Genomic DNA, 15,283 nt, shown 5'->3' with positions numbered 1-15,283 from the left:
CACATGTTTTAATGGTTTGACGGTTTCTCAATTCACTTTGAGCAGTCTGAGAAGTGATCAAATCCTTTTCACCTAGCACAAACCTGGGTACCAATGCAGTACACAATAAACATTCACTGAATAAAAAGAACTGGGTAGAGCTGAGGGAGGGAGGGAGCGGATGAGAAGGCACAAGGTAAATTTTGCTTACATTCTTTTTGGTTGAGCGGGCTTACCACTTAACTATGAAAGCCTAAAAATTACACACTGTAGATTCACAGTATTTAAGAATTAAAAATAACAATTCAGGGGAGAATTAAGGAAGAAGACTATGTTTGTATATCTTCTCTATTTCATTTCATTTAGCTGTTATTTTTTCTTTTAATATAGCCTATAATTCGTATGCTCAACATATACAGAATTAATGCTTTATTAAAAGATGATTCAAAGGAAAAAAAGGGGGAGATGTAAAAACTGCAGTTCATATTAAAGATGGTTTAAAATAGCAAATGGAGTGGTAAAAATATTAATAAATAGAAAACAATTCAAGCACACATTTAAAAGCAGCAGTGGGAGAAATGGCTGACAAGGCAAGTGGGAATCAGATTTGAGGCATTCACATGCTAGGCTTAAAAAAGGTAGATTTCTGAAGAAAGTGTACATTAGTGCCTTTGCAGATGTACAACAGTTGGTCACTGGTGACCTCAACAAGAGAAGTGTTGGGCTTACCAAGGGTAGAAAGCCAAACTGCTGTGGGTGGCAGAGTGAACAGGAGATGAAGAAAATAACTCAAAGCAGAGGGAAGGAATGGCAAGGGAAAACCATTTATTAAGAACTGGCACAGCTCACAAACCAGAAAAAACCAACAGCACTTCATTTTTTGGCAGGAACTACTAGACTTGAAGACCAGAGCAATGATATGGATATAACAATTATACGGCAAAACTGTGCTTGTGGAAAAAGACCTCCTTCTCTATTTCTGCAACAATACAGTCTCCATGCTCTCCTGTTATATAGCTCACGTATTTCTTTTTCTTAAACAGGCATATCCCCCACAAAGTGCTATCCCCAACTTTTTCTTCCCTTTTCCTCTCAAGACAGTCAGCAACTCCTAGGTAGAAGACTCCCTAGTCAGCTTCTTCTAAATAGCTCTATCTAACTCTTTTAATGGCTCCCCAAACTTGCCCCCAAATGAAGTCATGTGCCATAGATTCACTCAAGCACTTTCACAGACAGATATGGGTTTAAATCTTGGCTCTACCTCTAGTCAATTGAATGACCTTGGGATGCTGTGAGAAATAATACAGTCTGGGAAGCACTTTGCTCAGTGCTTGGCTAAGTACTGAGCCCGATTTATTAACTAGCATTATTATTAAACCATCTAAGTATCCAGACTTAAAAGCCAAAGAATCTTTCATTCACTCCTTCCTCTTACTATCCAAAAGTTTGCTCTATTTAATAGCTAGAAACACCTTTACGAAACCTAAATTAGATCATATTAATTAAAAACCCACCAAGAGCTCTCTGACAGAAGAAAGTCTTAAGTTTGGTACACAAAGCATAATTGGCTTCTAACCAACTTTTACAACTGTATCTTATTTTACTACTCATCACACATTGCACTCAAGCCAAAACATACCACCAATTATGGACAATAAACATATAGCAGTTGTATCGTATATACATTTAAGCTCACGCAAATGCACAGCAGGGAGGGTAATCAGGAGGGAGGGCAAAAAAGAGAGGTATAGTGGAGAGAATGACAGCAGGAGGAAGAGAACATTACTTGGAGTATACATTTGCTATTCCTCTACAGAGTTCCTCCGAGCCTTTCAAAATTACCATGTTGAGTATGACTTTAGCGGTTGAAGACTGAAGTTATTCATACAACATGGCCTCTCTACACAAGCCAACTATTTTGCCTGGTGCTCAAGTGAAGAAAAGGGATTTATTCTTTCACTGGATGAAAACGTAACTGTGCTGGACTTAAGGAGATATGGTATGTATGCTATTTTATGGATGAACTGGGGCATCTTTCTCATGGTGCAAGAGTTTGGTTTTAAGCTGGCTTAAGTGCTATTCCTTTCTCTTCTCCCTGCCTCCTCATTTTCACCCATCACACAAAATACATTCTTCCCCAGAATGCACAGTTTTTTAAAAAGACCTGACTCCTTGGGCTGGAAACATCAGTGGATCTATCACCGAATTTCTTTCAATCTATTTTATTTATATGCACTAACTGTTACTTGAAGAAAGGACCTATACCATGTATTTATAAACCCTCAGGGCCTAGCCTAGAGCCTTGCATACAATAAGCAAAGACTCATTAAATCAAAGAAAGGGAGCCATGTTGGCTGCTGAAAAGTACATTTTTAGCAATGGCTCAATGACAATTATTTCAAAAAGGGAGGCTTATAAAGCAAGGCCTAGGGGTCTAGACTTGTGGTTAACATTTTCAATTGGTGTGTCAATAGGTACTCAAGCTGGGAGAAGAATTGTTAATATCACAGGAATGCAATCAAGATTTAAATGATGAGACATTTTGTAGCGTAGGGCAAAATGGAGTATAGATAAGAATGTAAGTGCATCTAGGTTAAAAAAAAGAAATGTATAAGAAACAACAGTATCACTATAAATTATAAGTAGAAAAACACACAAATTTTGTGTGTCCAACCTCAACACAAGACAACTTTATAACAACATAAATGTCGATACCTCAACATTTTAATGATAAACTGGAAGGAGTCTCAAAGGGTATCAAGAATATTGAGGGTGGGGTAGGGAATGGAAAAGATGATAGAGGTGATTAATGTTTACATTAATGACAATCAGGCAACAAGAAGAAAAGACTATAAGTTTTCCTTGGTTCCTTTTTCCCTCTCACTCAACCACCTAATCTATGAGCAAGTTCTACAAGCTTTAGTTCCATAAGACTCCCTAGTTTGACCCCCTCTCTCTATTTTTACAGGGAAATCTCTGTCCAGGTTGGTCTGTACTGTTACAATTGCCTCCTAATTTGTCCTCCCTACTTCTAAGCTTACCCCTTGGAACTCATTCCACACACAGCAATTAGATCCGTTTTTTTTTTGTTTGTTTGTTTGTTTGTTTTTTTTTTGAGAGAGAGTCTCACTCTTTCACCCAGGCTGGAGTGAAGTGGCACCATCTTGGCTCACTGCAACCCCCCGCCCCACCACCCCTGCCGCCTCAGCCTCCAGAGTAGCTGGGATTACAGGTGCCCATCACCATGCCCGGCTAATTTTTGTATTTTTAGTAGAGATGGGGTTTCGCCATGTTGGCCAGCCTGGTCTCAAACTCCTGACCTCAAGTGATCCGGCTCGCCTCGGCCTCCCAAAGTGCAAGGATTATAGGGATGAGCCACTGCACCCACTAGATCCATTTTCTAAATTTAAAGTGAAACCTATTCCTTTCCTGCTTAAAATCCTCTATGGCAAGCTGTAACACCTAGAATTAATATATAAACTTCTTACCATGTCCAGAAAGCCCATGTATGATCTCATTCCTGCTTGCTTAAGTTTATCACCATCACTCTTCCTTTCTCTCATTCAGCTATAGTCACCCTGGCCTTTTTGTCCCATAAACATGCCAAAGTTATTCCCAATTTAGCCTTCATCTGTTCTCTGTATATGAAAGGTTCTACCCATAGATCTTTGTGTAGTTGATTTCATCTCATTATTCAGGGCTAAGCAGAAAACTCACACTCTCAGACCAGTTAAGCAAAAGGAGCACTCCGACCTTCCCTCCTCCCAAATATTATTGTATTTTATCTTATTCATATAAATAAATTATACTGGGGGTTTCTGTCTTGTTCTACTAGAATTGAAGTCTCCAGAGGACAGGAATTTCATCTTAAACATTGGTATGTCCATCATCAGTGCCTAGAACAGTGTCTGGCATAGAGTGAGTTTTCAAACATTTGTTGAATGGGATTTATTCTGCAGAAATCCTAAATATATTTAGGAAATTGGGACCAAATGACAGGTAGACTTTAGGCCATTTTGTAAAGAACTTGCAAGAATTATAGTGAGGTGAAAAGAATGTTTAAGAAGTCACTGGATGACCACAAATTATGAATACAGATGAGATTACTATATTAAGTAGGAGCTGATTAAGTGACCTTAAAATCCTTTCCAATTATAAAATCCTAATCTACTCATAATGTAATGAGTTACTTTCAGTCTATATAGCTGTTAGATAAATGGCTTGTACCTTGAACTACCTTTAAGTGATCTACTAAACACCTTCAGTGACTTTAGGTCATTTTTGTTTCAAAAAATAACACTGAACTTGCTATTCAGGGTAAAGTACCATTCTGACATATAACAGGATAAATGGACAGACAATTCCCCACCCCACTATAAATTATATTTATCGAGAGTATGGTACCTAAGATCCAATGTTCTAAAGAATTTGTAGTACATTACTCGCTATAATTTGGCTTTTGGTCCTTTTTGTCTCCCCTACCCTTCTACCTATAACTAGGTAAAATGGTGCAACTGAGAAAAGACTGTCATAAAATAATTTATAGGCATGTTACCTTGGCCACACAACTTTTGTTTAAATAAAAGTTTCGATCTAGATTTGAAATCATTTTAACAAACCAGGATTACTTTCAAAATACAGTATTTTGAAAACAACACATGCTGACCAAATTAATATATCTGCAGGAGAAATACTTAATGTAAACTCTATTTTAACAAAGACTAAGACAAACTTATTTTTATCAATTAATATAAAGCAGTGTATCCCAAAATGAGCTTTTGAGAAAACTAATTCTTCAAAAGATACTGGTCAAATAAGTTTGGGAAATACCATACACTATAACTCTTCTCCCTCATTCACAAATTACATTAACATATACAGTATCTGAAATATTTTACAAAAAATAAAGGACTTGTCCACTTGCTGAACTTTAATCTATCATTTCCCATATTTCCATAGCCAGAATTCCCCATCTTTTGGGGACAGAGCTAGTAGTGGAAAACACAGTTTAGGGAAACACTGCTATATAGCACTATTTGAAAATAGTACCTCTAAATAGATTTACAAAATGGCTAAGATAGAAACTGTGAAAACAAATGTGAAGCTTACTGGTATATATGTATTCAAACTAGGTCCCTAGGTAAGAATTTATATAACTTATACTAAATTTTTTTAAGTAGCTCAGAAAAGAGATACTTAAAAAATAGATGATTTAATTAAAAATTAAAAAATCAGCATTTTAGTCAAATCCCTATATTAACTGCTAATTTGTCTGTGACAACAAATATTCTGTGATGCCATTTTCCCCTCAAGTTATTAATGGTAGATTTTCATATTAAAACTAAAGTTATCCTGGGATATCAGGTGGTTCAGAGGGAAATGGGAAAGAAGCACAGGTCTGTGACTCTACTGGTTTATAATCATAGGTCTTTTTTTCCTTTCTGTACCATAGTGGGCTATTTGAAAGGGAAAAATATTTTTAACATGTGGATTCTCATAATACATTCTGCTAGACTTTTGCACCATTTTGCTTTGATGTCAACGTAATTCTAAGGGAGAAAAAAAACTTAATAGTTAACACTCCCCAAAAAGAGAGGGACTACAGCAGTTTTAGAAAAGACTTACTTAATCATTTCAAAAAGCTTTGGATCTGAGACCTTGATATTTCGTGCCATATTCCAGGAAAGATGAACCATGGGTACTATTGACTTCACACTTTGCAATTTGTTCCATTCGTACCGTTCCACTGCCAATTTATACTGGCAGGCTAGGAAAAAAAAAAACAGTTATAAAGCAACCCAAAGTACCAAAAGATATGAAGATAACCATTATCACCTGCTCAGGTGATATCTTCAACATCAATTCTGAAAACCTCAAAACACTATAAAAATAATTTTTATGCTTTATGATAATTACAGTAGTAATAATATTAGCAATCATATAAAGAGCACTTCCTATGACTATGTGCCAAGCACTGTGTTTTTATTTTTACCCATTATCTCATTTACTCTTCACCATCACCTTATTAATTTCATTACTTCCATTATACAGATGAAAAAATCGAGGACCAGAGAGGTTAAATAACTTGCCCAAAGTTACAAGAGCCAGATCCTGGTCCTAATCCAGGTCTTTCTGGCTCTAAACTCCACATTCTTAACCTTAAGTGAGTACTGCCTGAAGGCAGGCATAATTCAAACAGATTTTGACATTACAGAGCTATTCATATGAAACACTAGATTTTTTTAAATGTGAAAGAATAATTTTTCTACTTTGTTTTCTCTCATAAGGGTTTTTTTAAAATAAAACCAAGCACTCTAAAATTTATTATTATAACCTTCATGTATATTAAAGCCATAAACTTGTTATTTGCTAACATCTATGCTCTTAGATTTCTATTTGTTAACTTGAATTTAATTTGTTGTACTACGAATTACAATTCTATGCAAGGAGTCATTCTTCTTACAACTTTTAGTGAGTTATATTTCAAGAAAAAAGGAACAGTCCTATTGGATATAATCCTTTATAAATTAACTTTTTTAAAGCATATTCTTTATAATACCTGTAAGTGGACCAACATTCCAAGCAATGTTGTTGCACCAGCCAATAGCCTGAACCCAATGAACAGTGCCTGCATTTATCCAGACCAAATCTCCAGGTCGCTGAATAAACCTATACACTGGAACATTTGCTTCATAAAGATCTTCAAGATTGGGCCACCAAGAACCCATTAGGAAATTCAAATTATTTCTGAAATAAGAAAAAAATAATGCAAATGGATCAACTACATTAAGAAGCTCCTAGTAAGACTGGAAGAAAATGTCACAAATTTTTTAAATAAACACTTGTTCATTTTATTGAAACATAATTGCTTGTGCAAAAAGATCTGCTGTATGTATATAGAGTGTGTAATTATGGTTGAGTACTAAATTACTAAAGATCAGTGTTACTTTTTTTTTTTTTTTTTGAGACAAAGTCTTGCTCTGTTGCCTGGGCGGGAGTGCAGTGGCTCCATCTAGGCTCACTGCAACCTCCGCCTCCTGGGCTCAAGCAATTCTCCTGCCTCAGCCTCTGGAGTAACTGGGATTACAGGCACCTGCCACCACGCCTGGCTAATTTTGTATTTTCAGTACAGACGGGGTTTCACCAGGTTGGCCAAGCTGGTCTCGAACTCCTGACCTCAGGAGATCCGCCTGCTTCGGCCTCCCAAAGTGCTGGGATTACAGGAATTATAATACCTGTAGTAAGTGGACCGGCCCAGCATTACCATCTTAAATTGATTTTTCAAAGATCCAAATGAAATCCAAAGCTACTTTCAAGTAACACATAAATTCACTTTCAATTTCATTTCAACAAAGACTATTTTTGACTGAAGCCTTCTCCCTGGAGCACCTAGAAATCCCTAAAAGGTAAATGGAAGGTGGAGTTGACATCAAGTCATTTAAATCCATAAACAGGAACACTGTGGCAATACAAGTACCAGGAACTTCCCTTAATTTCTGAGGAAAAGGAGACTGGATGTCAGACTCCATATAGTTTGATGATTAGCTGATTAAAACTATGCAGTTCAAAACAACTTCAGCAAAAACAAACAATCACGCACATGCACAAATAATCATGACCACTACTACCAATATACTTTGGAAACATTCCTTAGATATTATTAAGCTTTTATTTTAATATCTGGCTTCTTATTCTCCATCATGATATGAAGTACTTTTTAAACAACATAGCAACCTTTCCCATAAAAGAACTTTATAAAATTGAATTAACCACTTCAAATTTCATATTTTGGGGAAGGAAGAACTTACACAGTAAAAATGTTCCTTTCCTTAAGATCTAAGAAATAATCTTACTTTATTTGTCTTGTGCTATAGCACATGATAAAGTATACTTTACAATTGTTTTTACTGGTTTAAATTTAATTTTTTATCTAGATCAAGGGTTGGCAAACTATGGCCCACGGGCCAAATTCAGCCCACTGCCTGTTTCTGTAAAAAAAACTCATTAGAATACAGCTATGTCCATTCACTTACGTACTATCTCTGTGTCTGTGCTATAATGACACAGTTGTGACAGACAGCGCATGACCAGGAAAGGTGAAAATATTTATTATCTGGCCCTTCATGGAAAAGAAATCGCCAAACTATGATCTAGAAAGAACCTTAGTCTCTCTTTTTCTCTCTTGAAAAATGCAAGGCTACTCTTGAAAGTTTAGACTAGAGTGCAAATGGTAGCCTAACTGCAAAGGGATAAGGATTGGCTTATTGTGTGTGACAAGGCCAAGTAGATACAGTCCAGAAAAAGTTGCCTATAAAGCAAAAAATGGCTATAGACACAAATCCTAGCCTTATTTCACCCATGTATTGCCATTACAAAATTAGAGAAAACTTTTTATCCAAAAGCAAGCAAGTAATCCCAAACAGACACCCCCCGCCCCAAAAATCAAACTTACCAAAAAGCATGCATCATTTTAATCATATATTCAAAAGAATGGTTATTTCAAGACAGGTATTATTTAAAGCCATAAAATAAACTACAGATACAGTATACAGTCACTATCAAAAGCAACAATCTTTATGTGAAACAAAATTACAGTGAAATGCTGAAGAAGCAAGTACTACTTTCACAACTGAGTTATTAGATTTACCTAACCCTTCCTTCTAACTTGATATTTTTATTATCCCTACGCTCAAGCTTTTTGGACATCATCTGCTTATTCTAATTATCTTTTTTCCCAAGACACCTCTCCATTTAGATAGGAAACAAAACTACACCCTAAAAATAGCCAGTCCCTACTCAGAAACAATGAACAAGGATTCCTGTACTATAGCTGCAACAATATAGTATTAACTCAAAGTTTAAGAAATAAAAATCTTTCTATAGCACAATGGAGATTTCCCATATAACAATGTTCTTTCTCTGCTGCTACTGGTCCATAAAAAAAGTACAGATTAAAGTAATCAGGTTATTTCATCAGTACATTAGAAGCTTTAAAACTCTGTATCTTTGGCTTTCTTACATTGAAGGAAACCAATATATGAATAGAGAAGACAACATAAGGTAATTATCTCTTGCTTTTATATAAGGAAACTGTGGATTAATATATTTTTTTGTTTTTCAACTACGATGCACTTCTTACTAAATCCAAATATTTACAGCAAAGATTCTTAAACCAAAGTAAGAAATTAGAAGTTAGTATGGGGCTGGGCGTGGTGGCTCACGCCTGTAATCCCAGCACTTTGGGAAGCCAAGGTGGGTGGATCACGAGGTCAGGAGTTCGAGACCAGCCTGGCCAACATGGTGAAACCCTGTCTCTACTAAAAATACACAAATTAGCAGGGCATGGTGGCACACCCCTGTAATCCCAGCTACTCAGGAGGCTGAGGCAGGAGAATTGCTTGAACCTGGGAGGCGGAGGCTGCAGTAAGCTGAGATTGTGCCACTGCACTACAGCCTGGGCAACAGAGCAAGACTCCGTCTTAAAAAAGGAAAAAATAAAAATAAAGTAGTATGTGGAATATGTGTATAATTAGTTTTCAAAGTAATCTCATGTAAATGTTTTCTGTGGGTGTTTTCCCCCTTTAATTGGGGTGGGGGCATAACACCAAATGTGTATATAATGTATATTTTCATCCTATACTAATTTGCTAATGTTATTACTAAATGAAAATACCAGGTCCTTATATAATGAAGTACTTTCTAGAAAAGAAGAGAATAAGGTTCTAGAAAAGAAGAGAGTAAGGTTCTATCTAGACAAATGATCAAATTGAAACCAACTAAAAAAAAATTCCAAAGTACTTTTTAACACAAGACACAGAAGTAAATAAAAGCTATTTCTGGGATCTTAAGGAAAGGAACTATCCAAGTTCTTTCAACTAGAGAAAACAAAATCTGGGCTGGATGTGGTGGATCATGCCTGTAATCCAGCACTGTAGGAGGCCCAGGCAGGTGGATCGCCTGAGCTCAGGAGTTCAAGAGCAGCCTAGGCAACATGGTGAAACCCCATCTCTATTTAAAAATAAAAAATAAATAATACATTTTATAAAATTTCTTCATAGAAAAAGTTGTCAGTTTAAAAAGAATTTATATCATGATATGGCAAAAGGTATTATGGTCAAGCTTGAGTTATTCACAGCCTATACGGGTGCTCAATAAAGAATTCCTTCTACTTCCTAAAACCATTTATAACAAAACAATTTTTCTTGGAATACACACATTTCAAATGAATAAGTATGCATCATTTTAAAAATTAAACTAATAACTCAACTTTTCTATCTTCTTAATTCATGGGTACTACTACTGCATGAAGTTGTTTCATGGCATCTTTCTTAAAGTATTTCCAATAACACAAAATATGAGGTTTGGAATCAAATAATTTAAAATGAATTCTTCGCTGAATGGTAAGTGAATACTGGCAATGTATCCATTAGGAGATCCAGCTTGGTAAGTTGTCGTTTACAATTACTGCTTTCTAATATATGTTTTAAGAAAATTTACTTTGGAAACCTACTTTTCACAGAAGTCATTCAGAACACCCCAGTAACCTTCAGGAACAACAAACCATTCACAGTCACCTGGGCCAATATTTATGTTAACTGAACAGAAGTTGTTATTTTCCTGATGACCTGAAATGTGAAAAGAAAAAAAATTGGAGCTCCAGTGGTGCAATTGGTTAGCACACGGTACTTATACAGAAAAAAATTAATCATCACACTATAATTCTATAGAAAAATGGGTCTTTGGAAACAAAACCTTACAAATGCTCAACAGAGAACACTCTAGTAGTATTTAGTTCTTCATCACTGTAGCATTTTTGTGTCAACTCCTAACATACTCAGTAAGAGCTTCTATGATAGGCAGTATAATCATGGTTAAGAGATTAGGCTCTGGAGCCAGACTCCTTGGCTTAGTCATTAATTGAACCTGGGCAAGTTGGTAAACCATTCTGACTCAGTTTCCCTATATGTAAGAACAGATAATAATAATCTCTATAAATTGTTGGGTTGTTTTGAAGATGGATAAACTAATGAATGCATATAACAGTGCTTAATACAGATGCTCCTTAACTTACAGATGGGACTACATCCTGATAAACCCATAGTAAGTTGAAAAATACCTTAAGTTGAAAATGCATTTAATACTCTGATAAACCCACCATAAAGTCCAAAAGTGGTAAGTTGAACCATTTCAACTCAGGGACCATCTGTACACAGTAAGCAATAAATATTAGCTATTATAGATATCATTACCATTTTTTTCCTTATGAACTAATCTCCAGGAACAGTGTTTACCCCATAACAAGGTACTCAAAATAATGTTTTTTGCCCAACATTTATATCAGTGTCCAATGACAGAGTACAGAGCAGAACATAGTTCTTCTATCATTTATTCCAGAACTCTTTGCACTTTACCTGACTATGGATAAAATATCACAGAATTGGGCTTCTAATGGTCTGAGGATAACAATTATAACCAATAGTTCTAATCCTGGCTGTATATTAGAATCCTCTGGGGACCTCAGTTAAAAACCAACCAACCCACCCACCTACCCTCATGCCTGGATCTGAATCCTAGAGATTAATTAATTACATACTTTTAAAAAGCTACCAGGTGTGGTGGCTCAAGCCTATAATCCCAGCACTTTGGGAGGTCCAGAGGGAAGAATAACTTGAAGTCATTATGTGAACCTCAAAACAATTAGCCAGGCATGGTGGCATGTACTTGTAGTCCTAGCTACTTGGGAGGTTGAGGCAGGAGAATTGCTTGAGCCCAGGAGTTAAACAAGGTTACAGAGAGCTATGATCACATCACTGCACTCCAGCCTGAGTGACATAGCAAGACCCTGTCTCTTAAAAAAGAAAAAAGAAAAAAGGACAAGAGAATCAAATCAGCAGCCAGGATGGGGAACCACTGACCCATTTTACCCAGAAGCAAGCATAGCCCTATTCTGAAAAAATTCTTAAGCACGACTCAGTAAGAATGTGAACAAAGAAGGAAGCAGTCTGGTTTTCAAACCATGGCTGCATCAAGTAGCAAAGAGAAGCACCTGAGGGAGACCTGCAGCCCCAAGTACATTGGTACAGCTGAACTGGTCATCAACAGTATCTCTTCTAATTGATCAGTGCTGCGATTGTGGCAATTGTTAAATATTTTGAATATCACCCTGTGAAATTTCATGTCAATGCAAAAGAGCACAAAGAAGATGGTACTTCAGTACTGGATGGAAAATTTAAGTCTAAAAACAATGTAATTCACTTTATAAATGAAGAAAAAGACCTAAAGAAGAAATGTAACTTGCCAAAAGTGACAAGCCTAATTAGTGGCAAAGTCTAGACTAGTTATTAGAATGAGTCTAGTAATGTCTCCACATGATGAAGTTTTTTTAAAACCGTGAGTTGTGATCCACTTAGAAAACTGCAACCTACACTTTATTTTTTAAATGAAACAGAATAGAATAGATTGGAAAACGTATTGTTCAATAAAACTGCTGCTGTATACATACATGTGCATTCGGTTACATATAAAACATACTTTTTATTGTTACTTGGGTTAAAAGAAAAATTCAAAAACACTGCACCCCATCACTCTCTGCAACAGATGGGATTGACAACAGAGTCTTCAGGCCAAAAGAACTTATTTCCCAGTGGTGCTCCAATGACCCCTTTCCAGATTAAATTGTTATAATGTTTCTGGGCTATTACACTAAAAAAAGATAATGAAAAGGGGAAAAATCTTAATCTGAGCCCAGTTAAAAAGTCTTATAACAGGAACAACTCTCAGTTTTATTCATTATAAATGACAAGATTCTGGCTGTCTTTGCATGTTTCATATTTTGATTTTGTTTTCCATTTTAACAAGATATGTTAGTTCATACAAATTACCTGGTGTTCTGCTCCCTGGAACTTTCATGTATAGTTGAACTGTGTTCATGCCCAATATGGTATGACCAACATGGCTTAGAAGATTTCCTGCTGATACGACACGCACAAAAGCAGGAAGTTTAGTCAGCTCATGTAGCTGCAACTTCCACCTGCAATAAAATAACACATCAAAAGTGAAACTCTGCTACAAATACCTGTGGAAGTTTACCATTTCTTCAAAACCCTTGTGTTCCAATCAGAAAAAACAATTAAGTCTATAAATATTTTACTTTTCCATAAGAAAATGCTTAAATTTTTAATTTTTTCCAAAGAAAACTTCCCAACAAAAAATAGGCATAAAAATTATTCACCAATAAAAGAAAAAAACTATTTTAATAGTTGTACAATTATATTTTATAAATACATTTTCACGTAACTATTTCATATAATTAAAAATATAATTTGTGATTATGTAATTAGCATATAGTCAGAGTCTTGATGAAAAACTGCAGAAAAGTTTTAAGTAAAAAAAAAAATTTGGCAGGGTGCAGTGGCTCACAACTGTAACCCCAACACTTTGGAAGGCTGAGGTGGGAGGATCCCTTGAGCCCAGGAGTTCAAGACAAGCCTGGGCAACACAGTGAGACCCCATCTCTATTTTTAAAAAAAAATTTTAAAATTTTAATTGTAAAATGTAGCAAAAAAAGTTTAGCTTAAATTCATGTCAACTTAAAAAAAATGACAATAAATGAAACAGAAGAGGAAATTGTAGAGAATTCCCAATCTAGCACAGGATAACTCTTTGCATCAGTTCACAGAAATATTACTACAAGGACTTACTTTTTGTCATCAGATAGGTCAATATTGGTCCCAAACTTTATGGTTTTAAAGGGTCCTTTCCTCCTCCTCCCAGAACTTAAAAAAGAGACACAGTATTAGAAACATGCCTTTTAAAAAGAAATACTAAGTGGACATTAAAAATGACTTACTTATCTGACGATGTAGATTCACTATCTGAGTGGTCTTTATGATGACTTCTTTTTTCATTTTCTTCCTATAGATTAAGCAAAAAGCAGTCTAGTTTAGTGTTCTACAACTGGCAATCCTTTCCACCATACAACTGAAAAAAAGTTCATATCTAGATTGAATAGTATTATTTGTGTTTTGAAACTAAGTTTCATGTTTTTAATTTTTTGAGACAAGGTTTGACTCCTGTTGACCAGGCTGGAGTGCAGTGGTGCGACCCCGGCTCACTGCAACCTCTGCCTCCTGGGCTCAAACGATTCTCCTGCCTCAGCCTCCTCAGTAGCTGGGACTATTAGGTGCGCATGACCACGCCCAGCTAATTTTTGTATTTTTGGTAGAGATGGGGTTTTGCCATGTTGCCCAGGCTAGTCTCCTGTGCTCAAGCTGTCTACCGGCCTCAGCCTCCCAAAGTGCTGGGATTACAGGCGTGAATCACCATGCCTGGCCTTGAAACTAAGTTTCTATAGGCCTCTTACACATGAAAATTTCTTCAAACACCACATTAAATAAATAAATACCCAAGAAAGCCAGGCACAGTGGCTCATGCCTGTAATCCCAGCACTTTGGGAGGCCGAGGCAGAGGGATCACGAGGTCAGGAGATCAAGACCATCCTGGCTGACACAGTGAAACCGTGTCTCTACTAAAAATACAAAAAAATTAGCCGGGCATGGGGGCAGGCGCCTGTGGTCCCAGCTTCTTGGGAGGCTGAGGCAGGAGAATGGCGTGAACCCGGGAGGTGGAGGTTGCAGTGAGCTGAGATCACGCCACTGCACTCCAGCCTGGGCGACAGAGTGAGACTCGTCTAAAAAAAATAAAAAATAAAAAATAAATAAATACCCAAGAAAAGTTGAATCTCACCGGCATGGTATCCAACTTCCTCCACTAGCCACAAAGTTATAATACAGATTCTCATACCTGCCCCATTTTCAAGAGGAGAGAAAACTTGAGGAAAGCTGAAAGGCCTAGGGCATCCCAATCTTGATTATAAATGATATAAGCTAGCAGAGGTGTATGTATGTGTACATAGCTATATATGTGTAATAGTGGAAGATAAGATACTTTTTATTCTTGATTATGAACAAAGGAAAAGTTCTTCCAGGGGATATTTATTCCACAATGAATTACACACAAATGACAAAATGTTTAGAACATTGCTGGATACATATAGGTATTTTTCAATGCAAATATTACTTTTATTTACAACTCTTGAGTCACAGACATGATATCTGTTAACACTGTTTTATGATTTCTGAGTTAGCAATACTTCTGACCTTTGGCTTCCATTCCTTTAAATGTATAGTGTCTGAACATTTGTCAAACTTTTCACATGTAATGGTCCATGTCTTAAAGCATACTAAAAGACCCCATGCTGGCAGGGCACGGTAGCTCATGCCTATAATCTCAGCACTTTGGGAAG

The 15,283-nt window shown here is 36.4% G+C and overlaps 1 protein-coding gene across 25 annotated transcripts in view; it reads right to left on the bottom strand.

Annotated features, from left to right (window-relative positions):
- The window catches only part of KDM6A (lysine demethylase 6A), a 239,592-nt gene that overhangs the window by 16,311 nt on the left and 207,998 nt on the right, over positions 1-15,283 (bottom strand). For 21 of the 25 annotated variants that reach the window (XR_007068200.1, NM_001419809.1, NM_001291415.2 and 18 more), the window contains 6 exons: positions 13,829-13,893; positions 13,680-13,754; positions 12,861-13,009; positions 10,490-10,604; positions 6,539-6,726; positions 5,605-5,746 (listed from right to left, as the gene is read on the bottom strand). Coding sequence is in view for 23 of the 25 variants with exons in the window: in NM_001419809.1 (NP_001406738.1) it covers positions 5,605-5,746; positions 6,539-6,726; positions 10,490-10,604; positions 12,861-13,009; positions 13,680-13,754; positions 13,829-13,893 (734 nt within the window). In the remaining 2 variants the exon portion in view is untranslated. Of the gene's footprint in view, positions 1-5,600; positions 5,747-6,538; positions 6,727-10,489; positions 10,605-12,860; positions 13,010-13,679; positions 13,755-13,828; positions 13,894-15,283 lie in introns of those variants that run through there. The other 4 variants (XM_047442430.1, XM_047442431.1, NR_111960.2 and 1 more) reach the window with 3 other exon arrangements.

The sequence above is a fragment of the Homo sapiens genome, chromosome X (assembly GCF_000001405.40).
Source record: "Homo sapiens chromosome X, GRCh38.p14 Primary Assembly".
Taxonomy (NCBI): Eukaryota; Metazoa; Chordata; class Mammalia; order Primates; family Hominidae; genus Homo; species Homo sapiens.
The sequence above is the reverse complement of the archived record's forward strand: the minus strand, read 5'-3'. Positions and strand labels throughout refer to the sequence as shown.